The sequence below is a fragment of the Homo sapiens genome, chromosome 15 (genome assembly GCF_000001405.40).
Source record: "Homo sapiens chromosome 15, GRCh38.p14 Primary Assembly".
In the NCBI taxonomy this organism is placed as follows: Eukaryota; Metazoa; Chordata; class Mammalia; order Primates; family Hominidae; genus Homo; species Homo sapiens.
This window is the reverse complement of record NC_000015.10, coordinates 98,065,666-98,093,625: the sequence shown is the minus strand read 5'-3', so window position 1 is coordinate 98,093,625 and position 27,960 is coordinate 98,065,666. Positions and strand designations below refer to the sequence as shown.

General features: G+C 42.0%; 1 long non-coding RNA gene and 1 pseudogene across 1 annotated transcript, besides 2 other annotated features; both read left to right on the top strand.

Moving 5' to 3' along the window:
* Positions 1,249 to 1,810: an enhancer, noted in NCBI's record as "OCT4-NANOG-H3K27ac-H3K4me1 hESC enhancer chr15:98635045-98635606 (GRCh37/hg19 assembly coordinates)". NCBI's record gives its function as "activates a minimal SCP1, AML or CMV promoter by ChIP-STARR-seq in naive H9 embryonic stem cells {active_cell/tissue: H9 hESC(naive)}" and the evidence as "EXISTENCE:reporter gene assay evidence [ECO:0000049][PMID:30033119]".
* Positions 4,873 to 10,647, top strand: LINC01582 (long intergenic non-protein coding RNA 1582). Its single transcript, NR_120325.1, has 4 exons — positions 4,873 to 4,928; positions 7,852 to 8,004; positions 9,726 to 9,792; positions 10,177 to 10,647. It is a non-coding gene; the product is annotated as a long intergenic non-protein coding RNA 1582 (long non-coding RNA).
* Positions 16,092 to 16,386: an enhancer, noted in NCBI's record as "tiled region #12410; HepG2 Activating non-DNase unmatched - State 24:Quies, and K562 Activating DNase matched - State 5:Enh". NCBI's record gives its function as "activates a minimal TATA promoter and a strong SV40 promoter by Sharpr-MPRA in HepG2 and K562 cells {active_cell/tissue: HepG2 | K562}" and the evidence as "EXISTENCE:reporter gene assay evidence [ECO:0000049][PMID:27701403]".
* On the top strand, positions 18,863 to 18,959 carry RNU6-1186P (RNA, U6 small nuclear 1186, pseudogene; annotated as a pseudogene).

Sequence of the window (27,960 nt, the reverse complement as noted above, 5' to 3'; positions counted from 1 at the left end):
TGGGTCTTGACTCTTTATCCAATTTGCCAGTCTGTGTCTTTTAATTGGAGCATTTAGTCCATTTACATTTAAAGTTAATATTGTTATGTGTGAATTTGATCATATCATTATGATGATAGCTGGTTATTTTGCTCGTTAGTTGATGCAGTTTCTTCCTAGTCTCGATGGTCTTTACATTTTGGCATGATTTTGCAGCGGCTGGTACCAGTCGTTCCTTTCCATGTTTAGTGCTTCCTTCAGGAGCTCTTTTAGGGCAGGCCTGGTGGTGACAAAATCTCTCAGCATTTGCTTGTCTGTAAAGTATTTTATTTCTCCTTCACTTACGAAGCTTAGTTTGGCTGGATACGAAATTCTGGGTTGAAAATTCTTTTCTTTAAGAATGTTGAATATTGGCCCCCCTCTCTTCCGGCTTTTAGAGTTTCTGCCGAGAGATCAGCTGTTAGTCTGATAGGCTTCCCTTTGAGGGTAACCTGACCTTTCTCTCTGGCTGCCCTTAACATTTTTTCCTTCATTTCAACTTTGGTGAATCTGACAATTATGTGTCTTGGAGTTGCTCTTCTCAGGGAGTATCTTTGTGGATTTCTCTGTATTTCCTGAATTTGAGTGTTGGCCTGCCTTGCTAGATTGGGGAAGTTCTCCTGGATAATATCCTGCAGAGTGTTTTCCAACTTGGTTCCATTCTCCTCATCACTTTCAGGTACACCAATCAGACGTAGATTTGGTCTTTTCACATAGTCCCATATTTCTTGGAGGCTTTGCTCGTTTCTTTTTCTTTTTTCTCTAAACTTCCCTTCTCGCTTCATTTCATTCATTTCATCTTCCATCACTGATACCCTTTCTTCCAGTTGATGGCATCGGCTCCTGAGGCTTCTGCATTCTTCACGTAGTTCTCGGGCCTTGGTTTTCAGCTCTATCAGCTCCTTTAAGCACTTCTCTGTATTGGTTATTCTAGTTATACATTCTTCTAAATTTTTTTCAAAGTTTTCAACTTCTTTGTCTTTGGTTTGAATGTCCTCCTGTAGCTCGGAGTAATTTGATCATCTGAAGCCTTCTTCTTTCAGCTCGTCAAAGTCATTCTCCGTCCAGCTTTGTTCCGTTGCTGGTGAGGAACTGCGTTCCTTTGGAGGAGGAGAGGTGCTCTGCTTTTTAGAGTTTCCAGTTTTTCTGTTCTGTTTTTTCCCCCATCTTTGTGGTTTTATCTACTTTTGGTCTTTGATGATGGTGATGTACAGATGGGTTTTTGGTGTAGATGTCCTTTCTGTTTGTTAGAAGGAAAACTAACAGACAGGACCCTCAGCTGCAGGTCTGTTAGAGTACGGGGTCATGTGAGGTGTCAGTCTGCCCCTACTTGGGGGTGCCTCCCAGTTAGGCTGCTCGGGGGTCAGGGGTCAGGGACCCACTTGAGGAGGCAGTCTGCCCGTTCTCAGATCTCCAGCTGCGTGCTGGGAGAACCACTGCTCTCTTCAAAGCTGTCAGACAGGGACATTTAAGTCTGCAGAGGTTACTGCTGTCTTTTTGTTTGTCTGTGCCCTGCCCCCAGAGGTGGAGCCTACAGAGGCAGGCAGGCCTCCTGGAGCTGTGGTGGGCTCCACCCAGTTCGAGCTTCCCGGCTGCTTTGTTTACCTAAGCAAGCCTGGGCAATGGCGGGCGCCCCTCCCCCAGCCTCGCTGCCGCCTTGCAGTTTGATCTCAGACTGCTGTGCTAGCAATTAGCGAGACTCCGTGGGCGTAGGACCCTCCGAGCCAGGTGCGGGTTATAATCTACTGGTGCGCCGTGTTTTAAGCCCGTGGAAAAGCACAGTATTCGGGTGGTAGTGACCCGATTTTCCAGGTGCTGTCCGTCATCCCTTTCTTTGACTAGGAAAGGGAACTCCCTGACCCCTTTTACTTCCCGAGTGAGGCAATGCCTCGCCCTGAGTCGGCTGGCGCACAGTGCACGTACCCACTGGCCTGCGCCCACTGTCTGGACTCCCTAGTGAGATGAACCCGGTACCTCAGATGGAAATGCAGAAATCACCCGTCTTCTGCGTTGCTCACGCTGGGAGCTGTAGACCAGAGCTGTTCCTATTCGGCCATCTTGGCTCCTCCCCCGGCTGGTCTTGAACTCTTGGCCTCAAGTGAGCTTCCTGCCTTGGCCTCCCAAAGTGTTGAGATTACAGGTGGGAGCCACCTCTCGGGGCCTAAGAGTTTTCTTATATATCAGCAATAACTAATTCTAATGTAATTGGGGAAAAGAGCCCATCCACAATGCCCTGCAAATATCAGAAATCTCTAGGAATAAACATGGCAAGAAATGTATGAGATGCCTTTGTGGAAAACTGTGGAACTGGCGGGGTGCGGTGGCTCACGCTAGTAATCCCAGCACTTTGGGAGGCCGAGGCAGGTGGATCACCTGAGGTCAGGAGTTCCAGACAAGCCTGGCCAACGTGGTGAAACCCTGTTCTCTACTAAAAATACAAAAATTAGCCGGGCGTGGTGATTCGTGCCTGTAATCCTAGCTATTTGGGAGGCTGAGGCAGGAGAATGGCTTGAACCCAGGAGTCGGAGGTTACAATGAGCGGAGATTGTACCTTTGCACTTCAGCCTAGGCAACAAGAGCGAAAGTCCGTCTCCAAAAAAAAAAAAAAAAAGAAAAAAAACCTGGAACTTTAGGAAAAAAAACATAGAAGACCCGAATAAATGAAAGGATGCCATGTTCTGTAATGGGAAGGTTCAAAACTTTAAAAATGTTAATGCAAACCAATGTTAAAAGACTAGATGCAACTGGCTTGCCTTCCCAGATATCCAAATATATGTTAAAAGCTAGGGTAATTAAAATAGTGCAATATTGTTGTAGAAATAGGAAAACTGTCAATCAAATAGCTAGAATGTGTATGAGAATTTAATATATAGTTAAAGAGATAATTCAAATTAGTAGCAGAAAGAATATACCATTTAATGGTGTGGGAACCATGAGATATAGCTAGATCCATTCCTTATGCCATATAGGTCAGTGAATTATGATTGGATTAAAATTCAAATCTGAAAATCAAGACAGTAAAAGTACTGGAGGTAAATTTAGAAGAATTATTTTCTAGTTTTGGAGTAGTTTAAAGTTACTCATGTGAGACACAAAACTCAAACTAAAAGGAAAGAAGGTATTTGACTAATACTGACTTTGGAAATAGTTGAATGAGAAGCAGGGAACTTTTCAGTTCATTATTCTTTATATATGCTGTATACACACACACACACGTATTTTAAAGGAACTGTTCACTATACATGTAATTTGTTTTGAGACGGAGTCTCGCTCTGTCGCCCAGGCTGGAGCGCAGTGGCGCGATCTTGGCTCACTGCAAGCTCCGCCTTCCGGGTTCACACCCTTCTCCTGCCTCAGCCTCCGGAGTAGCTGGGACTACAGGCACCCGCCACGGTGCTCGGCTAATTTTTTTTGTATTTTTAGTAGAGACGGGGTTTCACCGTGTTAGCCAGGATGGTCTCTATCTCCTGACCTGGTGGTCCATCCGCCTGCGCCTCCCAAAGTGCTGGGATTACAGGCGTGAGCCACTGCGCCCGGCCCTATACATGTTATTTTTTAAAAACAAGAGAACTTTAAAAAATGTGACAAAAACGTACATCAAAAAATGTATACTTCTTCAGACCTTGAAGAAATATATTCTACATTTTTACAGCAGACATTAATGAACCTTTAGTCCTGTGTGTCTGTGGCTGACTGCCACAATTACTACTTGAGACCGTCACTATGACAGTTATTACTGTTACTACTTGAGACCGTCACTACGACAGTTATTGTTACTACTTGAGACCGTCATTACAGGACTGAACGAAAGGACAAACGTAGAAATGATTAAAAAAATCTGTTTTAAAGGAAGGGGAAACCGGGAAGAAGGGAGCTCCCTGCTTCTAGTGAGCGAAGGCAGCCCCCCGAGCTTCCACAGCCCTTCGCATTCATTGGGAGAATGAGCAGGGAGGAGGCCCTAAGACTGGTCAGCTGTTTGATTATCACAAGTTCTCATTACTAACAGGCTTCAGTTGTGTCTAATCCTAAACACTTGCACCTGGGTGGTGACTGCCCTCAGCAGTCCTTCTGGGCGGCAGACACAGGTTGTCAGTTTGCCAACACCCTGCTCTCATGAGAAACAGTTTGCTGCTTACTCACGTGGCCTCCAGTGGTATACTGAGTTGATCACGACCCTCAATCTTTCGGCCCCTAAGAGCCGCAGGGGGGTGGGGAGGTGCCAGGCTGCTGAGGCCTTTGGGTTCCTAGGCTGCTGGCATTTTAAAACCACCACTGTATTCCACCTCCCCTTGGATAACACGCAGAAACAGGCCAAGAAGAAATTACCTGCTGTTGGTTATTTCTATTTCAAATGAATACTAGCTGAACATTTACTAAATGACATTGTCAGGTTTCAGCAAAAGCGGCCTGTAATAGTTGGGTGAGGACAGGGAAAGACTTTGAAATGGGCAGAAAAGATTACGGGATGTCCTGCAGGTTCAGTGTGCTTTGGCCTATTTTTCAACTGTCTAAATTTTCGCCGCCAAAGTCGCCAAAACCGCCTTCGCCGCAGCTGCAGCCAAAGCCTCCTCCTCCTCCTCTTCCTTCTCTCTCCTCCCTCACCTCCTCCTTCCTTCTAGGAAGCTTACTGGAGTGAAACTTGAACGTTTTCAAAAAAAAATCATTAACGCAAATGATTCTTGTCCAAAGAAACAGAAATAATAGAAGTGTGAAGGGGCGTGGGAGGGGGTTGAGATGTGCCGCGTTCAGGCCCGGGGCACCGGCGAGGGTGGGCGTGTGAGCGGGGGGTGGGGGCGTTAACGGTGTCTTCTCCCCACAAATGAAAGAGAAATAGTAAATTCTCCTGCGGGTGGCGAATCAGGAGGGAAGGTGGAGCCCACAATCTTTGCAAACTCTCTGGGGAGCCAGGGGTTGGTAGCTGGGAAGACTTGGGTGGTGACCCTGGGGGAGGGGAAGGGGCCGGGGAGCGGGGAATGGGGGCAGCCCCTGGGGAGGAATGGGAGAGGGAGGAGGACGCCAGGGGCACAGGGACAGCCTCCGGGGCGGGGCGCGGCGCCAGCCTAGCCCGAGGATGGAGGCTGAGGCCGCCTGTTGAGTCACAGGTAAGGGGAGCCGCTCTGGCCAGGCCCAGGGCCGCCCTCGTTCCTCCCGGAGCGCAGCGACAGCTCCTCCCCGCGTCTCGGGTTTCAATGGCTGGGCCTGCCCGAAAGCTCTGGGCCCCCGCGTCCCAATTTTTTCTTTATTTTTGAAGGATAATATTGCTGGACATAGAATTCTTTGTTGACATTGGTCAGCTCTTTGAATATGTCATCCAGTATCTTCTGGCCTCCGTGGTTTATGGTGAGAAATCAGCTTACTGAGGATCCTTGAACATGACTTGTCTCTCTCTCGTGCTTTCAAGATTCTCTCAACAGTTTGATTATGATGTGTCTGACTGTGTATCTCTTTGAGTTTACTCTACTTGCAGTTTGTTGAGCTTCTTAGATATGTAGATTGATGTTTTCCATCAAGTTTGGGAAGTTTTGATTCGTTATTTCTTCAAATATTCTTTCTATCCCTTTCTCTGTCTCCCTTCTTTCTGAAGTTCTTCTAATCTACATCTTGCTTTGTTGCTGATGTCCCAAAGGCCTCCAAAGCTGTGTTCATTTTCTTTCTTCTTGTTCTTCAAACTAGATAATATCAATTGACCTATCTTCAAGTTTGCTATACTCTCTTCTGCTTCTTCAAATTTTGTGCTCAGCTCCTATAGTGAAATTTTCATTTTAGTTGTACTTTTTAACTCCAGAATTTCTATAAATTTTTCAAAAATATGTAATTTCGATCCCTTTGTGAATATTTGCATTTGGTGAGACATTGTTTTCATAATTTACTGCAGTTGTTTAGACACACATTCTGTTAGCTCTTGGAGCACATTTAAAATAACCAATTTTAAAGTATTTTCTAGTAAGACTAAAGTCTGTACTTTCTCGGAACCGTTTCTATTAGTTGCTTAATTTCCTATTATAGAGCCATACTTTGTTTCTTTACATGCCTTGTAATTTCTGTTGATGACTACTTAAAATAATACATTGTGACACCTCTTAAAATCATTATCTCCCTCCCCAGAGTATATTGTTGGTGCTGCAATTTTTTAGCTGTTTTGTATATTTAATAATTTTTTTGAACTAATTCTACAAAGTCTGTACTCTTTGTTACTTGTGGCAACTGAAGTCTCTATTTGGTTAGCTTGGTTGTTGAGTAAGGATAGGACAGAGATTTCTGTAAATACCAGAAACCAGTAAATCTCCAAGTCAGGTCAAATACAGACAATCTTGCATGTGGAGTCTTCCAGAGTATTACCAGACAGGTCTGACGAGACAGTTCCGAAAGGACAAATCTTTGGGAATGAGGCTTTAAAAACAGCTTCATTCTGCTCACTCTGGTGGCTCCAGTACCGCTCCAGGAATGTGGGGTGTCATTTTTCAAGGCCACTGCAGGAAAGGAAAGTGAGGCATGAGAGTGAATCAAGGTAAAATGCCACAAAGCTTACTGTTCTTATTGAGAATTGGCTGGTTTTCTTAAATACATGCTTCTTGAGTTGCTACAAGTCTTTGGTCAATTTCTAGAGGTCAATTTCTAGAGTTCTGGAAAAGTTGATTCTAATAATCTTTGCCAACTTTCTCCTTGTTTCTGTGGAGAACAGAAGTTTTGTTAGTCTTTATTTCCATCATTTATGCTGACTTCACTCCTTGATTTTTAAAAAATTAATGATCTAAATAATAGTCATATCTCTCTGTATGAAGAACAGAGTGCTCTGGAATATGATTTTTGGGGGGGTTCACATCCTGGCTTTGCTACTTACGGGTTTGTGGCCTTTGGCAAGTTACTTGTCTGTGTATCAGCTTTCTTTTATGAACTGGGCATATTAATAGTACTCATCTCATAGGTTGGTTGTGACTATATAAAATGAGTTAATATGTGGAGAGTTCCTATAAGGATGCTTAGTACAGAATAAACATTTGGTGAATCTTACCTGTTAAAACAGCTACTCTAAATTTTCACTACAATTCCACACAGTTGATAGGCCGCCGCCTTCTTCCTCCTCCTCCTCTTCCTCCTCCTCTTCCTCCCCTTCCCTTCCCCTCCCCTTTCCCTCTTCCTCCTCCTCCCTTTTCCTCTCCCTCTCCTTCTACTTCTTCTTCTGCTCCTCTTCCTCTTCCTCTCCTTCTTCCTCCTCTTCCTCTTCTTCAACCGAGCTACCCAGGCTGTAGTGCAGTGGCGCTATCTTGGCTCACTGCAACCTCCACCTCCTGGGTTCAAGCAGTTCTCCTGCCTCAGCTTCCTGACTAGCTGGGACTACAGGCACGCACCACCACGCCTGGCTAATTATTTTTTTTTTTTTGTATTTTTAGTAGAGATGGAGTTTCACCTTGTTGACCAGGCTGGTTTCAAACTCCTGACCTCAAGTGATCTGCCCACTTAAGCCTCTCAAATTGCTAAGATTACAGGCGTGAGCCACTGCGCCTGGCCCTGATAGGCCAACTTCTAAACTGAGATTGATAGAATTATTTACTGAAGTCACAGAGGTAGTGAGTAATTGATTCAAGCAACCTTGAAGAGTTGCTGCATGAATTAGAGATAATGTGTAAAATTTTAAGCTCATACTTAGATGCTGCTCATTCAATGGGAACCAGTCCTACAAATTATGGCTCTAGTATTTTCTCCATAGTGGGTGAACAGTACATAGTTCCTTGACTGTTTAATTTTTTTAGATGAGTATATGTATTTATATTTAAATGTATCTTGCAGTTGCATGAGGGTTTTGCTGAAACTTTTCTTCTGTTCAATATCCAGGTTTTGGCAGAGTTCAAAGACTGGGAAGCAAAGTTCAGCCATGTTGGGCCTTTGGGCTCATAGATGAGCAAGGGTACCCCAATATGAGGGCTCAGCAAATTCTGGAACTTATCAGTTCTGAAGACCTTTAGAGGAGAAGGAGACAAGTAAAAGGTATTTCAAAGCACAGTGAATGGGATAAAAGCAGGGATCAGGAGTAGCTAAAAATGGAACAGGTGGCTTACATAAATACCAGCTGTGCATTATGGTCGATTTTATTGCCAGTTTGTAATGTTGTCCATGGCTATTTTACAACAGTTTTCTTTATTCCTGACATTGTTGTAAATCTTGCTGTAAAATTGCTCTAATGCAGCAGAAAGGCTATGAAATGAAATGGGAACTCCAAGGATCAGTTGATTGTAGTGGAATGGAAGGGAGGCTGAGGATGCCTAGAGAGAAAATAAAGGAAAGCTGGGGGAAAAAATTAGTGGGTCAAATATCTCATTATGTATGAGAATTTGTCCTCTTAAGTCAGTTTAATTGTGAGCAAGAGCAGATAGCACTTTTAGGATGAATCCACCAGGTGGCACCATCGAAAACATTTCTTAGAAGGCCTCTTTGTCTAGATTCTTAGAAGAAGTTAGTAAACCTGTGATTTTTAGAGGTGGAAACAATACTTCTCATTTTTGGAGGGGGAATGCATGGTGTGTATTATATTATCTTCTGTACTTTTTGTATTTGTGTGTATATATTACAGTTCTAAACACTGAATAGACCCCTTTCTCAAGAGATACAATGTCAACTTGGGAACTTGGGTCAATTTTGTAGGGCAGATTTGAGCCAAGCATCCCAGATTTAGGGATATATATATACACACACACGCACATATATGTATACATATATATGTATATATGTGTGTGTGTGTGTATGTATATATATACATATATATATATATATATATATATTTTTTTTTTTTTTTTTTTTTTTTGAGATGGAGTTTCGCTCTTGTTGCCCAGGCTGGAGTGCAATGGCGTGATCTCGGCTCACTGCAATGTCTGCTTCCCAGGTTCAAGTGATTCTCCTGTCTCGGCCTCTCGAGTAGCTGGGATTATAGGCGTGCGCTGCCAAGCCCAACTAATTTTTATTTTTAGTAGAGATGGGGTTTCTGCATGTTGATGAGGCTGGTCTTGAACTCCTGACTTCAGGTGATCCACCCACCTCAGCCTCCCAAAGTGCTGGGATTACAGGTGTGAGCCACTGTGCCCGGCCAGGGATATATTTTTATACCTTTTGGTTAATATTAATATACTTTGGGTTTTCTTCTCCTTTCTTAGCCTGGGAATATCTAAGCCTTTATCCTTTTAATTTTCCTTTTTATCATCTCTGCCCGAGAGGTGAAGAGGAGTACTAAGTAGCCCTCTCTACTTCTCCTCCCAGCAGCTGGCCGCTGGCTCTGCCTCTACCTGGTCCCTTCCAGGATGTACTTCCGAAGTGGTGGAAGTAGGGAAGGCTCTTGAAGGGAGATACCCATGATTCTTAAAATTATGCACCAAGACACAGCACAGAATCAGAATCCGAGAAAGTTGGATTTCTGGCCCATTCTGCCTCTTTCTTTTTAGCTCACTACTTAATTCAAGGGTTATTGCAAGGATTACAAAAGGTAACGTGTGCAAAATGCTCAGTATATGGCCTCGTACATGCTAGGTGCAGAATGCATGTATGAAAATAATGTTTAATAAAATGTGTATTAAACTAATATCTTTTCAGCAGGAGGCCAAATAGGCTTCTTGTCCACCTCAGATTTTTTTTTTTTTCCCTCACTTTTTTAAAAATCAAGGAGGATGTGAGGAACCAGGAATTGAGATTTGGCATTAATCTTCATTCTTGTTGCCTAGGGTTGGCCTTGCGTATTGGCAATGAAACAGGCTATTTTTGACATTGAGTTGTCCAGCATTCTCTAAGGTGAGGCTATGTTGCATGTTGGAAAGATTTAGCGAATAACAGAGGCAGGCTCCACTCGTTTCCCACTGGGAAAGGCAAGAGCAGCCTGCACACAGAGCCCCTCTGAGGGCAAAACTCACACTGCATGCTGCACGTGAAAACTGCAACAGGGAGTTAGAGATGCCCGGGGCAGTTGTGATTTTCACTGTCCATTTATCTGTAATCATTTTTGTAAGGAAGATTGATGGATGCCGGGGGGTGAGGGTGGGCGGAGGAAGTCACTGCTGCATAGTGATGCACAGAAATTGATATTTCATCAGAAGAAAGCTCTTGATAGTTGTTTCCCTGGCAAGCTGGAGATGACGGACAGTCTTTACTAACTGAGTTGTTTATCCTTCCTATCAGGTATGTAGTCCTGGAGGGCGCTGCTTAATGAACCAGAAGTCCTGCCTCTTAAGTACCTCACCAGCTCAAATGTGTGCATGTCACCTTGGCGTGAATCGGAGCAGGCGCTGGTGGATACCGTTTGGAGGCATGCCAGCAAGGAGCTCCTTGTGTAGCCTGCCTCTGGAGCCTCAAGTTCAACTTCCATAGGGCCAAAAGGGGAGTCGGGCTGGGCAGAAGCTCCTGAGAACCAAAGCAAATGGTCTGAGAGTCTGAGAGTGTAGTGGAGGTAACGTGTTCGTGTCCTCTCTGGCTGCATCACCCCAAGTCCTTGCAGACTCAAGTAGCCTATTTGCAAGTTTAAATAGTTTGAGTCCTGGCCGGTAACAAGAATACTCTACAGTGGCCCAGAGTCAGGGATATAGAGTGGCGACTACTTGGCAGAACTGGAGCTTGCTCAGATGAAAAGATAAATTGTACTGGTTAAACGAAGATCAAGTGCAGGGTCTGGACTTTGTTTCTATCTTTCATGTGGACTCTATAAGCACCTACACACAGCATTCTAGAAACACTGCTCCCATCCCTCCTGTCTCATGTCATCCTCCCAATTCCGGGAGTTGGGGGGCATACTCTTTCCCTGTGTCATGTGAGAAATTCCTTTCTCATGGGAAGCAGGTGGCATTCCTGGACTCTCCTTGGCCTGGCCGTTGGTAAGCACAGGAATTCAAGGTGTCTGAATCTCTTGTCAAAGGTGGGCTGTAAGGCTCCAGAAGAGGAGGACAGAAAGTGCCTGCAGAGCTCCTGCCTGAGGCCTTTGGATGGGCCCTGCTGGCTTGCCGTGTGTGTGTGTGTGTGTGTGTGTGTGTGTGTGTGTGTGTGGTGTCGTGCTTATTTGCCCCAAATGAGGCAAGAGAGCAGTGATCAGGTGTCTCCCCAGCATCTAGTTTCATGAAGACAATAGAAGTGGGTCGGATCAGGCCTGCTGCCATGCTTGGCTTGCCCATGTCTCCTAGGATTGGCTGCCTGGTGGCCATCCCTTTGCCATCCCCTTGACTGCCCTGTGAATGATGTCCACTCTGAGACCCCAGGCCACTCAGAAAAACTGAAGATTCTCAAGTTCAGGTGCAGTTAGGGGGCAGGTCCTGGTGGTGGGGGAGCTTTGATGTTCTGCAGTTGGAGGATCCTCTTTCAGAATAGTAATGCAATTTGTGAATTAATAAAATTAGGTATGCAAGAGGATATGTAGAAAAGAAAAATCACAAGCTACACAATTTTTAAGTTGACAAAACTACGAACATCACAAAATAATATGATATTTTAAATTAATTATCTGCCTGGAATACTCTGTCATTTTTTTTTGATCTTTTGCCTGCATCGTCTTTGATAGCAGTGTTTTTGATATTGCTTTTTATAGAGAGACTCAAGATAATGGAGTCTACTCTGTTGTGGTTAATTAAACATTTTTTGGTGTTATTCATAGTTTGAGATGTTTCTTTTAGCTTCTCAACCTGCTATACAGATAAAAAGCACTTTCATGTCAGGTAAATATTTAGAATTGTTGCCAAATTTTAAATTTCCTCCATCAATTTTCTTTCATATGTCATATATGAGTTGTGAGATTTGGAAGGATATTTCAGACCAGCTTCTGTATCTATTTTTTTCTCTAATCACATGCTACTGGTGGTGTGGACAGTAGTAGCACATGACCATATCAGGACATGATCTATCTTGGTGTCATGGCTCTCAGTGAGTCTGCTTGGAGGGTAGTAGAAGTATCCCTGGACGTCATTCCTACACCAGGACAGCAATAACTTAGCTCTCCAAGGAAGTTACTGTGAACCACATGCACATATTCTACTCAAGTCAATGTGCCCCCAACTCAATTTGTCCTTAGCTAGACCCCAAAAGTTCTCATGGGGAGTCTCACTCCCCTTCCACTTAACATGATGGAAGGCCTGATTGGAGGGGGGCGTCAGCAGTGGGAAGAGACACAGCCTTCACTGATTGCAGCTAAAATGTCTTACTTTTGAAAATAGGACAAAAACATATGACCATGTGCATATACTGCTGAAGCCCCTCCCTGGGCCATGCAAGGTGCCTATGTGAGTGCAAGTGAGATGCCCGGAAGTGTAAGTTTCATCTGCTCAGGAAAGGGCCAGGTATTGCCTGGTATCACATTCCAGGGGAAAGGAAGAGACAGTCAAGGCCTTATGGCTCTTAACTTTGATCTTAGTGCTTCGTATTTTCCATTCTGCATGATACAAAAACAGATTTAAATCATGTTCTAGATAGAGATGAAAAGCATTTTCACTTTTGGCAGGTCGTGGAACATCAATCAATATTTGTTAATTGGTTGAACTGGATGCATAATTGGAAAGCTAATGGAAGGAGATATGTTTTACAAGGAAGGGCCCTTGGTGATCACTGATTAGTCATTTTTACAGATAGCAAAGCCAGGAAGGGGAATGACTGTCTGAAGGTGGCAGTGAATGACAGAGCTGAGGCCCATGGCAAGGTGCACTAGTACACTCTGCCTTTGCATGACTGTAAGCAATTAAAGTCTCATCAGAAGTCATTGTGAGTTAATACACGGAGCAAATATAGGTGCAGATGTCTAGAAGCAACAATGGCATTTACAGTGAAGCCAAACATTGAAGGTTTACTGTAAAATGTTGCACTGAATTCTTTATATACACCTGTTTTGGTTAGTCATTATTCTCTCCAGTCTGTGGGTTACATGCCCCTTGCTGACCCACAGTACCATGCCACAAGATAGGCAGTGTATTGGCCAGGTGCACACCTGGCAAAAGTCTACTCTGCTTAGGTTCAGCTGTGGATGGGTTCTGTGCGCCTTGGATGGGGTCGTGAAAACTGTGGGACTACAGGACTGGGCTTGTGGGCAGAAGAGTCATAGGGCACTCTGCCTAGGAAAAGGGAAAGGGGCCTGTTCCTACCAGGTGCTCTGCGGAGTGTCCACACTGCAGGGAAAGGCTCAGGTCTGAATAGGAGGTGCAGACTTTGTGTCTACAGGACCCTGCAAACCTGAGGCCTTGTGGAGGTTTGGTCAAGATGGAGAGGCCAGTTAGCGGCGTACCATGGGCTAGACTGTCCATGACGTGGAGTAAAAGGCAGCTATTGGCACTGAGCTAACAACAGTGGGAGGTGGGGCCTCAGTGGAAGTGGATTGCTTGCTTCTCATCCTGCCTCCAACACTTGGTACCCACATGACCCTGCACAAGGAACCTGTTTGTCCCATCTGAGCCTCTGCATCTTGGGCTGTCAAAAGCCAAGAAAAAAAAATTGTAAGACTGATCTCATAGGGTCGTTACGAGAATTAAATGAGATAATCCATGTAAAGCAACTGACATGTAAAAATAACAATAATGAAAGTGACACTAATCTTAGGGTCTACTTCGACTTTGCTAAGTGGTTTTACAATAAATAGCATTATTTATTATTATTCATTATGTTTAATATTACTATTAAATCAGTCTCCATGGCTGTGGATGGGGGTAGGATGACCTGGGCCTGTGGGCCCTGACTATTTGCCTCCTCCATGCCCAGGTACCCAGTCCCTGCAGGCATCTGCAGCTCAGTCCCCCATGAGAACTTCAGGGTGTCCAGCCAAGGGCAGGGTCTCTGGGAGCCTCTCTTTTCTAACGGGGGCTGGGCTGCTGGGCTCAGGAAGCCCATATAGCCCTATGCTTCAAGGGAGGATGGTGAGACAAAGGGAAGCATGGGGAAGAAGGCAGTCTGCACGTTACTGAGCACCTACTATGTACCATGACTCTAGAAGAGTTTGTATATGTTATCTCGCTTAGCGATGCTATCATTAGTTATTCTTATCTCCAATAAAAACAGGAAAATAGACACTTTGAGAAGTACTCTGCTCAAGTGCAGAGCTGGTGAACATAGGACTCAGACTCAAACCTGCTTCCATGTGACTCAGGCCTGCTCCACTATTCCAGGTGTAGGAAAGGCTGCTTATTCCATTCCATGTTGATTTTTGCACAAAATAATTATTGACTCAAACAGGAAGGTGAATTACAAGGTAACTTACCTTAAAAACCAGTTGGGATTTTGACTGGAAGTTGACTGAAGCTATAGACTGCTTTTGGTAGACTTGACATTTTTATGATATTGAGAGTTCTTCACCTTGAATATGGATTACTTTTTTAATTATTAAGATATTCTTTAGGCTGGGTGCGTGGCTCACACCTGTAATCCCAGCACTTTGGGAGGCTGAGGCAGGTGGATCACTTGAGGTCAGGAGTTTGAGACTAGCCTGACCAACATGGTGAAACCCTGTCTCTACTAAAAATACAAAAATTAGCCAGGTGTGGTGGCAGGTGCCTGTAATCCCAGCTACTCTGGAGGCTGAGACAGGAGAATCACTTGAACCTGGGAGGTGGAGTTTGCAGTGAACTGAGATCGCACCACTGCACTCCACACTGGGTGACAGAGTGAGACTCCATCTCAAAAAAAAAAAAAAAAAGAAAATTCTTTGGAAGACACTATAAAATAGGAAGAGACAAATCTAAAACATGTAGATGTAACATGTACAGCTGGAAAAGGATTAGTATCCAGCGTGTATAAAGAACCATTATAAATTCAGAAAAACAACCTAATGGAAGAGGAAAAAAGATACAAATAGACATTTCTCATAGGTGGAAACATAAATAGTAAAAAAGAGGAAATTTCTCATAGGTGGAAACATAAATAGTAAAAAAGAGGAAAAACTCAATAGTATGGGTTGAGTTTATTTTCTTGACTACATTTCTTAGAAATTTCTTGGCTGCCTTTAATTGAAAATACTAATTTTCGGGCCGGGCGCGGTGGCTCACGCCTGTAATCCCAGCACTTTGGGAGGCCGAGGCGGGTGGATCACGAGGTCACGAGATCGAGACTATCCTGGCTAACACGGTGAAACCCCGTCTCTACTAAAAATACAAAAAAATTAGCCGGGCGTAGTGGCTGGCACCTGTAGTCCCAGCTACTCGGGAGGCTGAGGCAGGAGAATGGCGTGAACCCGGGAGGCGGAGCTTGCAGTGAGCCGAGATTGCGCCACTGCAGTCCATCCTGGGGGACGGAGCGAGACTCCGTCTCAAAAAAAAAAAAAAAAAAAAAAATACTAATTTTCAAGAAAATGAAAATTAAGACATCATATGATACTTTTTAAATACTCTTCAATTTATAAAAATTAAGAAATTTGATAAGATCAAGTACTCAGAAATATAAAAACAGAAAGAACTTACACTGCTGGCATGAGTGTAAGCTGATACAAGCACTTCAAAGAGCCTATCTTATAAACTTAAATGTAAGTAAGTCCTATGAACCCACTGATTATATACCCAGGAGAAATTCCTGCCGCTGAGTACTAAAAAAGCATGTACAACAGAATGTCTTTAGCTGCCTTGGTGTAGTAGCCAGAATGAGAATAATGTAGATGTCCAACCATCGGAAAATAGATGAATAAAAGCTGGGTATATTTACTCAGTGGGATATGATACAACTGTCAAAATCAATGACCCAAAGCTGCCACCATCATGAAATGGATGGGTGACAGTGAGCCTCAAAACTTCAGAGTCAGTAATATGGGATGATACCATTTTTATCACGCTAATATGCAAGCAAAGCTAAAGAGTATATTGTTTAGGAATACAGACGTAATCTGAAAAAAATCTTTTTCTTAAAAAAAAATGAGAAGGATAAGCAGAAAACTAGAAATAATTGTTCCCTCTGAGGCAGAGGCAGAGGGATGCAGTCAGGGGGTCTTAAGGGGTTTCCCTATGTTGGGCGTGGTCTCTTTCTGAGCTTGGTGGTTGAGTTGGGGTACTGGTTTTGTGAGTATGCCTCTTAACTCTGACATACATTATATCTGTTTTATTGTCTCTATCAAGTATTACATAATCTAAACAGCCTCGTCCTCCATGCAGCTCCTGACACGTGATGACACTTTTCATAAATTCACCAAATCAGAGAAAAAGTTAAATACCATGAAATACTGTGAAATTCCCTCCTTCTGGAGGAGGGAATCCCATGCGCGTCGTTTCTCTTGCCTGGCTGCACATGCGTGCTGGTGTGTAGGTGGGGCACAGCCAGTGACTCACAGGGGTGGGAAGGCAGATCTCGCTACCATTCCCTGATCCCTGTTTCCAGTCATCTGCCTTATACTTCTGTATCCATTTCCCTGATCTCCAGAGCAGATCAGACCTCTTTGTTTTAGCTGTTCCAGAATGGGCCCTGCGGGCTTGGAGGGTGGTAGTTGCTGCATGGGGTTGGATGGGATCCTGGGGTTCACAGCTCCTCTGTTGCAGGCTGAAATGCACACCTGTTCGTAAGCCCTTTTCCCCACCCATGACAGGTGTGTTCAGGCCCTGAGCTCTCAGGAAGGGTCAGAGAGGAGAAGAACTGCTGTGCTCCTGCCCCCCACCCTCCAAATTGAGTGCCTGCATTTTTGGCCCAGGGCTCTGCAGATTCCAAAATTTTATCGCTCTCTCTCCTTCATCGTGGCTTCCTCTCTCCTTCTCTTTTTCTTTGTCATTTTCTTAAATCATTTCAGTCTTTTCGTGGTATTTTGAGCAGTCCATCTTCTGGGTTCAGTTCACCAGGTCACGGTTAACTTCCTGTGTTGAAATTTGCCTTTTCTTTTATAAGTGAAATAAAGGAAAGATGTTCGGGTTACTCGGATCATCCAGGGGGTTTTCTGTTGGTGGAGGTTTGGGAGGAATGGACAACAGGCCCTTTGGCCTGCTGCTATTTCTGGTCTGACAGGCACGGCCCCTCCCTCTGCTGTTCCTGGAAGCCTGCAGCACTCTGAAGAAGTTTTTCTGAACTAGCCATGACACTGCAATTTTCATCACCATCACTACCTCTTTTTTTTTCTTGCAACTTTAAATTTTAAGATGTTTATAATCAGTGTTAAATTTTCACTCTGATTTCACAGTCATGACAGAAAATAGATAAGCATGATAGCATGCTTATCAAAGGGATTACTTTTTGTACTTTATGCACTAATTTATCTCTTTCAGGGTAGAATTTATTACTGAATCTGTTTTAAAAGATTAAATAATTCCTTTACAAGAGGTGACACTGGCTTCTTATGACAATGGCACCTAGCCAAGCGGAAACTTCCACTTGTGCCTGCCACCTCCTCAGGTACCAAGCCTACGGATTGAACCTCGTAGGCCTGTAGACAAATGCAGAGCTCAAGTTAATTTAGAAAATACCATGCATAACCTGGCATTCTTTTTCTAACCCCAAACAGTCAAGACAGACGTAAGGCATGAACATGTTATTTCAGCTGTCAAAGTAATGAAGTCAATAGCCAAAAGCTCGTACTAATTCAGTATTATTGAAGACAGAGCATCTTAGCACAGCATTTGAATAGGTTTTTGTGTTTCTTTGATCTCATATTTTAAAATTGAACATTAATCAAGTGGACTTTTTGTAGTATATTATGAACTTACTGAAAAGGCAAAATAGAAATGCCCATTGAGATCATAATTGTCAATGTCATGGACAAGGTTATAAAAGTATACCTGTTATATGCTTCTGAGGTTCCACATCTATGCTAATGCTGTTTTCCCAGTGACTGGCTTTAATCAAGTTCTCCCATCTACTTCTTACATGGGTGAAACTGAATTCATAACTGGGTTGGAAAGAGGAGCATCTAATTAAAATCACATTTATACTTGAAATATCTCTCCCTAGTAGGGAAAGATAATATCATCACTTAGTATTTGGGGTGGATGATAATATTAAATGCTTTTCCCATAAGAAACAGTTCAACCAAGGCCTTGTCTGAACTTGTAGAGACTTTAGCATCTTTGAAGGGAGATGGCCAGACATGTTTCCAGGAAGTTATGAGTTTTTCATTATTCTTTCTTCTCTGTTTGATAAACAGTTTAGATAGCCTGCTATGCTGCCCATAGTAACCTTGAGATGTCAGATTTATTGAGGAATCATTTACATACAGTAAAATTTTCAATTGTGTAATAACCACTGAATCCCCTATAAAGTTACCTTTTGCCTCTTTGTAGTCAGCCTCCTTTTTTCATTCCCAGCCTCTGATAATCACTTATCTATTTTCTCTCCTTATAGTTTTACTTTTTCCGGATTGTATAAATGGCATCAGATAGCATGATGGCTTTTGTATCTAGCTGCTTTCACATAACATGCTTTGAGATTCACTCATGTGGTTTCAGCATAAGTTCTTCTTTTTTTTATTTTAGTAACATTTTAGTGCATGGATATATCAAAATTTGTTTATCCATTCACCAGTTGAGGAACATTTGGGTCATTTACTAATTGTTGGCAATTCCAAATCAAGTATGTATGAGCATTAACATTCAGATCTTTGTGTGAATGTATGTTTTTACTTCTCTGGTGTAAATACCTAGTAGTGGGATTTCTGGGTCATATGGCAGGTGGAGGTTTACTTTTATAAAAACTACCAAACTCTTGTCTAAAGTAGCTGCACCATTTTTCATCCCTACCAATACTAAGTACTATTTAGGAGAGTTCCAGTTGCTTCATGTATTCACCAGCTCTAAGTATTGTCACTTAAAAAATTAGCCATTCTAATATGTATATAGTGGTATGTCTTTGTGGTTTTGATTATTTTCCTCATGACTCTGAGCATCTCTTTGTAGGTTTCTTTGCCATATGAACCTCTTCTTTAGAGAGGCTGTTCATAGAGTAATTTTTTTGGCCATTCAAAAATGGGTTTTCATTGGAACAATACAGAGATTAGCATGGCCCCTGTACAAGGATGACAAATTCATGAAGCATTCCATATTTTTTAAAAAATGGGTTTTCACACAAGAAACTTAAGTACGTAGTCCATAGACCCTAAAAAGAAACTACACAATAGAAACTACAAAGTAACCAGCTAACAACTCCACAATAAGATCAAAACCTCACATATCAATATTAACCTTGAATGTAAATAGTCTAAATGCTCCACTTAAAAGGCACACAGTGGCAAGTTGGATAAAAAAAAAAAAAAAGGGTAAGACCCATTCATCTGCCATCTTCAAGAGACCTATCTTACTTGTAACAATGCCCATAGGCTCAAAGTAAAGAGGTAGAGAAAGATCTATCACACAAATGAAAAAAGAGCAGGGATCGTTATTCTTATATCAGATAAAACAGACTAACGACAGTAAAAAAAGGACAAAGAAGGGCATTATGTAATGATAAAGGATTCAATACAAAAAGACTTAACTAACCTAAATATATAAATACCCAACATCGGAGCACCCAGATTTATAAAGCAAGTACTTCCAGACCAATGAAAAGTCTTATATAGTCCACACCGTAATAGTGGGAAACTTCAACACTCCACTGACAGTGTTCAACACATCATTGAGGCAAAAAACTAACAAAGAAATACTAGATTTAAATTCGACACTTGACTAATTGGACCTAATAGATATCTACCAACCACTCCATCCGTCAACTACAGAATATACATTCTTCTCATTTGCACATAAAACGTACTGTAAGATCAACCACATGTTAAGCCATAAAGCATTTCAATATGTTAAAAAAATCGGAATCATACCAGCCATACTTTGGGCCACAGTGGAATAAAAGTAGAAATCAATACCAGGAAGAAGAGACTAAGAAGATCTCTCAAAACCACAAAATTACAAGGAAATTAAGCAACTTGCTCCTGAATGACTTCTGGGTAAACAACAAAATTAAGGCAGAAACTAAAAAAGTATTTGAAATAAATGAAAACAGAAACATGACATAGCAAAATCTCTGGATACAACAAAAGTATTAAGAGGAAAGTTTATAGTTCTAAATGCCTACATTAAGAATTTAGATCTCAGATTAACACTCTAACATCACACCTAGAGGAACTTAAAAAGCAAGAGCAAACTAACCCCGAAGCTAGCAGAAGAAAATAAATAACTGAAATCAGAGCAGAACAGAATGAAATTGAGACCCAAAATTCCATACAAAAGGTTTATAAAACCAAAGGTTGGCTCTTTGAAAAAATAAGCAAGCTTGATAGACTGTAAAAAATAAGCACAGAGGTGACAAAAGTGATATTATAATCAATTCTAGAGAAATACAAAAGGTCCTCAGAGACTATTATGAACACATCTATGCATACAAACTAGAAAATGTAGAGGAATGGCCAAATTCCTGGAAACACAACTTCCCAAGATTGGATCAGGAAGAAATTAAAATCTCGAACAGACCAATATCAGATTCCAAAATCGAATCAGTCAGAAGTGAACCATAAAAAGCCCTGAACCAGATACATTCACAGCTGTATTCTACCAGACATAACGGAAAATTGCTGGTACGAACTCTGAAATTATTCCAAAAAATCGAGGAGGAGGAACTCTTCCCTAACTGATTGTATGCAAAGACACAATGAAAAAAGAAAACCACAGGCCAATCTGATGCACATAGATGCATAAATCCTCAACAAAATACTAGCAAACTGAATCCACCAGCACACCAAAAAGTTATTTTATCACAATCAAGTAGGCTTTCTTCCTGGGATGCAGGGTTGGTTCAACATATGAAAATATATGTGACTCACAAACATAAAGAATTAAAAACAAAAACCATATGATTATCTCAATAGACACAGAGAAAAGTTTCCACAAAACCCAACATCCCTTCATGATAAAAACCCTCAACAAACTTGGCATTGAAGAAACATACCTCATGCCATCTATGACAAACCCATAGCCAACATCATCCTGAACAGGCAAAAGATGGATGCACTCCCTTTAAGAACAAAAATAAGCCAGAGATGCCCATTCTCACTACTCCTAAATAACAGTACTGGAAGTCCTAGCCAGAGCAATCAGGCAAGAGAAATAAAAAGCGTCCAGATAGGAAAAATAAGATTTCAAATCATGTCTTTGCTGATGATATAATTCTATACCTAGAAAACCCTAAGGACTCATCCAAAAAATTCCTTGACCTGATAAATGACTTCATCAAGGTTTCAGGACACAAAGTCAATGTACAAAAATTGGTAGCATGTCTATCCATCTATAACATTCAAGCTGAGAGCCAAGTTAAGAACCCAATCCCTTTTACAATAGTGTCAAAAAATAAAATACCAAAGAATACATCTAATCAAGAAGGTGAAATCTCCACAAAGAGAACTACAAAACAGTGCTGAAAGAAATCAGAGATGACACAAACAAATGGGAAAACATTCCATGCTTGTATATTGTAAGAATTAATATTGTTAAAATGGCCGTACTGCCCCAAGCAATCTATGGATTCAGTGCTATCAAATTACAAATGTCATTCTTCACAGAATTAGAAAAAAACTATTCTAAAATTCACATGAAACCAAAAAGAGTAAAATTGGACCCCTACTTATCACCATATACAAAAATTAACTCAAGATGAATCAAGGATTTAAATGTAAGACTTCAAACAATAAAAATCCTAGAGGAAAATCCAGGGAATACCATTCAGCACATAGCCTTGCAAAGAATTTATGACTAAGTCCTCAAAAGCAATTGCCACAAGACCAAAAATTGACAAGTGGGCCCTAATAAACTGAAGAGCTTTTGCACAGCAAAAGGAACTATCAACAGATTAAACAGACAACCCACAGAATGAGAGAAAATATTTGCAAACTATTACCTGACAAAAATCTAATATCCAGTTCCATCACCCTGTGTACTAATTCCCTGCTAGCTTTTCCTCACCACCAGATACATGGATAAAGGCATGGTTTATCAAGGTTTGGGAAATAGGAGGTCAGATTTTCTAGGAGGGGCCCATGGCCTATGGAGAGGCTTTGTTAGTTTCTTGGAATAAAATTATAATATGTGCCCAGATGTAAGGAAGATTTTCCTCCTCCCCTCCCTTGAATTATTTTCCCGAAAGGAAGGAGTTGCCCAATATTCAAATCCTTACAAATTATCTTCTATTATAGGACAGTATCTTAGTTGTTTTACTTTGAACAATATGAATTGTGTAAGGAAGACACACTTAGCCTTAAATGATTTCAATCAATTCTAGTTTAGGATACTCTCATAGGTCACCAGGAAGAATGGGAGAAGAAGAGTGGGAGTGGGAAAGAATATTAATACTTGAGTAGTAATCATCCTTAGGAAGAAGACTTCAGCATTTGAAATGTCATTAATTGTAGATTAGCTTTTGAAGGACACGTTAAAAAGAAATATTTTGTCAGATCGCCACAGGAGATTTGAGGCATAGCACTATCCTAATGTTGTGCCAGTGGATACTTGAAGCTTGGGATAAAAATTAGAGTGATTGTCCCATTTATATGTTTTAAAAGTGTGTATAGCAACTTAGAAGGGAAGCGGACATAAATGCAAAATGGCATATAATGGTTAAAAATCTGGTTCCAGGGATGCTGGAGAAATGGACGTTAAAATATGTGAGCAGTTTGAATAAAATTCTCTTATGAAATACTTAGCAAAAAAAAGCAATCTTTTAAAAATAACACCTTATTCTGTGATTTGTAAGGTTAAAATTATGTGCAACTACATTGGCTACTTGTTCTAAAATATTGCAAGCTTATTTGCATCATTTAAGGATCCTATATTAAAATTTTCACATTGGGAAAATGGGGGAGTGTCTTCTTATAATCATAAATTTATGATAAAAGAAAATGGGGCCACATTTGTTTCTTGTGATGTCTATAGGATCAATGGAAAAGGGTAGAATCAGAAGGGAAAATCCAATTGTGTTCATTATCAGCAAAATGGAGCAATTGTGTCTAATATAAGGAGAGAAATTTGGATTGTGCTGCTCAGAACACACTGAGTATGTGTATACTACAATCACTATTCTTGTCATCCCATGAGGGCCAAGATTTTAAGTTTAATAACATTCTTTATGATTATAAAAATAGTACTGTTGTTTCTCATTATTTGTGGATTCTGTATTTGCAAATTCACTTATTGAAATTTTTTTGTAGCCGCCAAATCAATACTCATGCCATTGTCATGGCCATTCACAGACATGTGCAGAGAGGCAAAATGTTTGAGTTCTCTGAGGACCACATTCCCAGCTGAGGCTGAATACAGAGAAGCTCTGCCTTACTGTTGGAGCTCTCATATTGTAAACAAATGTGGTTTTCATTGTCTGTTTAGTGTCGCATATTTTGCATTTCTGTGTTTTTGCTGGTGTTCTTGCCTTTTGAAATGGCCCCCAAGAGTAGTGCTGAAGTGCTGGCTAGTGTTCCTGCACTCAGGATGGCTGTAGTGTACTGCACAGAGAAAGTCATGTGTATTAGATAAGTTTCCTTCAGACCTAAGCAAGTTACAGTGCTGTCAGTAGTGAGTTCCAGTTAGTGAAGCAATAATGTATACTAAATAAGGCTTATTTAAGCAGAAACACAAGAAACAAAGATTATGTATTAATCTATTAATAAAAATATTGTGACCAGAGGCTCACAGGAACCTAATCCTTTGTTTCCTTTAGGAGCAGTGGTTCGATATTTGCTAATTCAGTGTTGGCAGCAACTTTATAGAACATGACTGTATATGTGGAGCATTCTGTTTGTTGACTTACATTTTGCTTATCAATATATCATGAACATTTTTTTCTAGGACTTTAATCCTAAGATTATTTTAAAAACTCAATTCATGGTAATTTACTTTCATAAAACGGGTGAATAGATTCAAAAATTTTCGTTCAGGTCAAAGTAGTGAAGAAATTAATGGAAGAAAATTTGGCTGTCTGTGTGAGAGGTCAAATATCCAGGTATTCCAAAATGTGAAATGAAAAAGGCCAAATCAGGTTTTTACTTTTGGTGCAGATGTTTGAAAGAATGTTGACATTCAGCTCTATTTGAGGTCATATTTATTTAATTACTAGAATAACGTTTTTCCTCAACTTATTTACAGAGGGATGGAAAGGAGGTAAAGATTTGGGGAAAAGAACAAAGTCAAACCTCTCAAGCATTTCCTAATGAGTAATATGCAGGAAACAAATTCCATGGAGTGTTGGTATGTGTAACTCCTGGGGTGCAGTTTGAATATGCAGTCACAGTGAGACTGAAGTGTAAGGAAAGTCTTATTACTCTGTTTCTGCAAATCTAATTAAATCTGACTGAACCTACCATGCACTTGTGAGGTAGAAAATTTAAGCATAATTATCTAAGGGGCATCGTCCTCCTACTCACCCACCGTGGGAAGGTTGCAGGGAACTGACACATACTGGAACGCTTGAGGAGGGCTTTCTGTAATTGGTGCACACTAAATTCCACTCATGCTCAGTTTCTAAGCCAGCATGGCCCCTTTTGATGGTGGTGGTGGTGTGTGTTTGTGTGTGGCGGGGGGTAGCTTCCCCATTTCCAGCCAGACTTGTCCATTTGAGTCTTTCCTGAGGCTTAGCTGCAGGTGCACAGGACCTGTATGTCCACCATCCCCTCACTCAGAGACTGTCCCTTCTCAAGACAGAAACTCTAAACTCCAAGCTAGAGGCCTCTTCTTGTTCGATAAATCTCTTCTCATTAGGACTTGATGCTGAAGTCTACCTCCCTCAAACTCTAGAGCCCCACTCTACTTCTTGTGCCAGTTAATTTTTTTAAATGCAAAGATATTTAAACTTGACCTTAGACACAAAGGAAGTCCCATGTCTGCAACACAATGGCCTAAGATGGGGAGCAGAGCTCTCTTTTATTGGACTCTTCCACCAGCATGGAAATGTATCAGATTCTCTCAATAAATTAGCTCACCATGCTCTGCAAAATTGATGACGGGATGCTCAAATCAAAAGGAATTTGCAGGAGGAGTGGATTTATGTACTTTGGGACTTCTCAGAGCCTTTACAATGCTTGCATGCACTGTGAGTCTCCAAGAGGAGGTTGGACCTGGGAGTGCATCTCAAACAAGTTGAACCACAGAGGCTTTTGGAAGTGGAGCACCCTTGGGGTTGGTGCTTGGTGGGGTGTGCACTGCATACCCAAGGTGGCAGACAGATTCTGAAGGGCTTTAAGTTGGCAGGTGACAGATATTCCCCCACTGGACATATTTCCTTAGCAGAGGGTCAAGTAATTTATCCCAGGTCTTCCTTCACAGGTTGGGTTTAGAGAAACGGTGTCCTCTTTGGCATGCTCTCTTGGTCTTTATCCAGGAAGCCTGAGGTTTCTCATGATTTTAGGCTCCCGGTAAAGCTTATAAGAGGTGGGACTTCTGGGGATAAGCCCAGAGCTCAGGGCTGCAGGGTAGGGAAGACCTGCGAGTTGCATGACGTTGGCCTTGAGTCACTGTCTTCTGTGACCTTATCATCTGCTCTTTAGGACTGCTGGAAATTTAGAGACTTCTCTTATGCCACCATAGATGCAATACAGCAGTTGTCTCCGAACAGAGCCCTTCCTTGACCAGAGTATGTGGTGCTGCACTTTATTTACAGGAGTGCAGGAGGGTAGGGCTTGCAGGCACACTCAAAGCAGATGCTGCATCTTCCAAGAAGAGACCTCATTTGGATAACTCAGTCATACCCATTCTCAGTATAAAGAGTAAAGAAATCAGAGGCCATGTGGGAGTTCCTACTGGCATCTCCAGGATTACTGCTTTAACCAGCCTGGGTGTAGCAGGCTCTCTTGTCCAGGACAGAGATCCAAACCAGCCTCTCATCCCATGGCTCAGTTGTGAAGTGCTGTATCATCCTCCAGGGATTCCGAGGTGCACTGGAGCTAATGCACAGACATCCCTTGGTCAAGTGGATTTGTGTCTTTAAGATGTAGAGTGTAATGAATCCTGTTCCCCTCCTAAAAACCTCCTGTTCCCCCAACTTCACATTCAGCAGATATTCTTTCATGGGTTATTTTGCCCAAGTCATGAGGAGATGCATGTAATTGTGATCATTTCAAGAGTGTGAGTAATGCTTGGTACTTGCTCTGTGCCGTATCTGCTCCAATCACCCATTCCACTTTATTTCCTATTATGCTGAATGAAACGGTTATATTACAGCTATCATCTTTCACTTCCTCTGCAGTTTATAAGGCAGTTGCTGCTGCGTGCTCTAACTCCAGATTGAGAGATTAAAATCCACTTCAGAAGGCCTTGTGTATAAACAGAATTTACCATAAATTGGACCAAAATATTCAAGAAAAAATTCAACTCTAGGGAAAGTCTGACCTCCCACCCCTGCCTATTTCTATGTACCATCCATCCTGGAAACTCCCTGAAGTCCAGGCCTTAAACACTTATTTACTGGGAATAGGCTTTCCCAAATTAACATGCAGACTCATATTTTCCTTCTTTGAAGCATGCCACTTAACATGTTGTGTCATTGTGTCTATCTGGGGGCTCTGACAAGCCTATAAAGGATATATGCTGTGTTAGTGACTACTTAGGAGTTTCTAGGAGGCTTGGGGATAAAATTTGGCCTTTGCTGAGTTGTAGACAGAGCTCTGGACTTGAGGCCAGAAGACCTGAGTGTGGGACCCCATCCCACTGCTGGCTTAATGACCTTGGGCACATCACATAATCTCTCCAAACTTCGGAGTTTTTCCTCTTTAAGGTGGACACCATAGGACTCTTGTGAGGATTGAAAGATTATTCATGGAAATGGACACTGTAATGCCTGTCCTGTGGAGAATACTGAATGAAGGATATCTACCTACCTATTTATGTAAACTCCCTGAGCCCCAGTTATATTCATGTATTAATTGGGGGTAATTGTTTCTGCTCAACAGACTTCTCGGAGGCATTCAGTGAGAGTCCAGTGAAGCTCCTCTTGTGGAAATGCTTCTGGGGGACCCACAGCATCACTAGTGTTCTGTGCTGCTGTTAGTTTCTGGAGTCCCACACAGCTCATAGTGCTTTCGTCTGACAGGTGCCCAGTTGCTGCTGTTGCATGCCTGTTGAAGAGTGTTGCTTCTATGCAGAGACTGATTCTTCCTCAGTTCCTCTTGGTAGCCTTTAAAAGATAAACTGAAGCACATTAAAATGTAAAGACTTTATTTGAGCAGACTGACTCATTAATTGGGTAACTCCAGACTGCAAGCATTTGGGGGCTCTGCTGAAGGAGCACGAGGGGGGAAGACTTACAGGGTGAACCTGGAAGTGAGTCAAAGAAAATGATTGATTAATTAATGTGGAGCCATAGCCTTATTTGGATTACTCCAGTGGAGATTGCCTGGTGAGAGGTTGCTTGGCCGTTTCTGAGTGGTGAAGCTTAAGGTTAGTTTTACCATTTACACTGAATTAGGTTTTGGTTTGCTCATGTAGGAACCCAGGGAGCTGGAGCTGCTTTAGTCTAATGGCCTCCCAGTTAATGATTTTTAATGTGGCCAAGGGGCTGTTGGCTACATGGTCTGGATGTTCAGAGCCTTGTTAAAGGCAAAGAGCCCTCTGGGCTGTGGCTCCCAGCCTCTCCAGTCAAAAGAAGGAGTTTAAAGAAGGTAGAAAAGCGATGAAGCCACATGTGATGTGATAAACAGATGATCCCTTGTTTAGCCTCGGTGCTATCTCCTTCTCTAGAGCTGCTCATTCTCCTTTCTTTGGTACCTCATGATTTTCAGAGACTTGGGCAGAAAGGGAGGAGGGATGGGGCCTTCAATACCCTCTGGACCTGCTTTGGGAAGGCATGGTGTGTGGGGTGAATGTATGAACACTCCTTGCTTCCCCTAGTTGCATTATCCTCAGGGGAGTTTGCCAAGATTATGTCTTTACACCTTACTGGCTGTGAATCTTGAAAAAATTACTCTTTGAGCCTTGGTTTTCCATATTTCCAATGAGGATAGCTGTGTCTACCCAGTGACTGTTGTTAGAATTAAATCTGAAAATGAGTACCGTGGTTAAAAGCCATTTTTGTAAATCCAAAAGT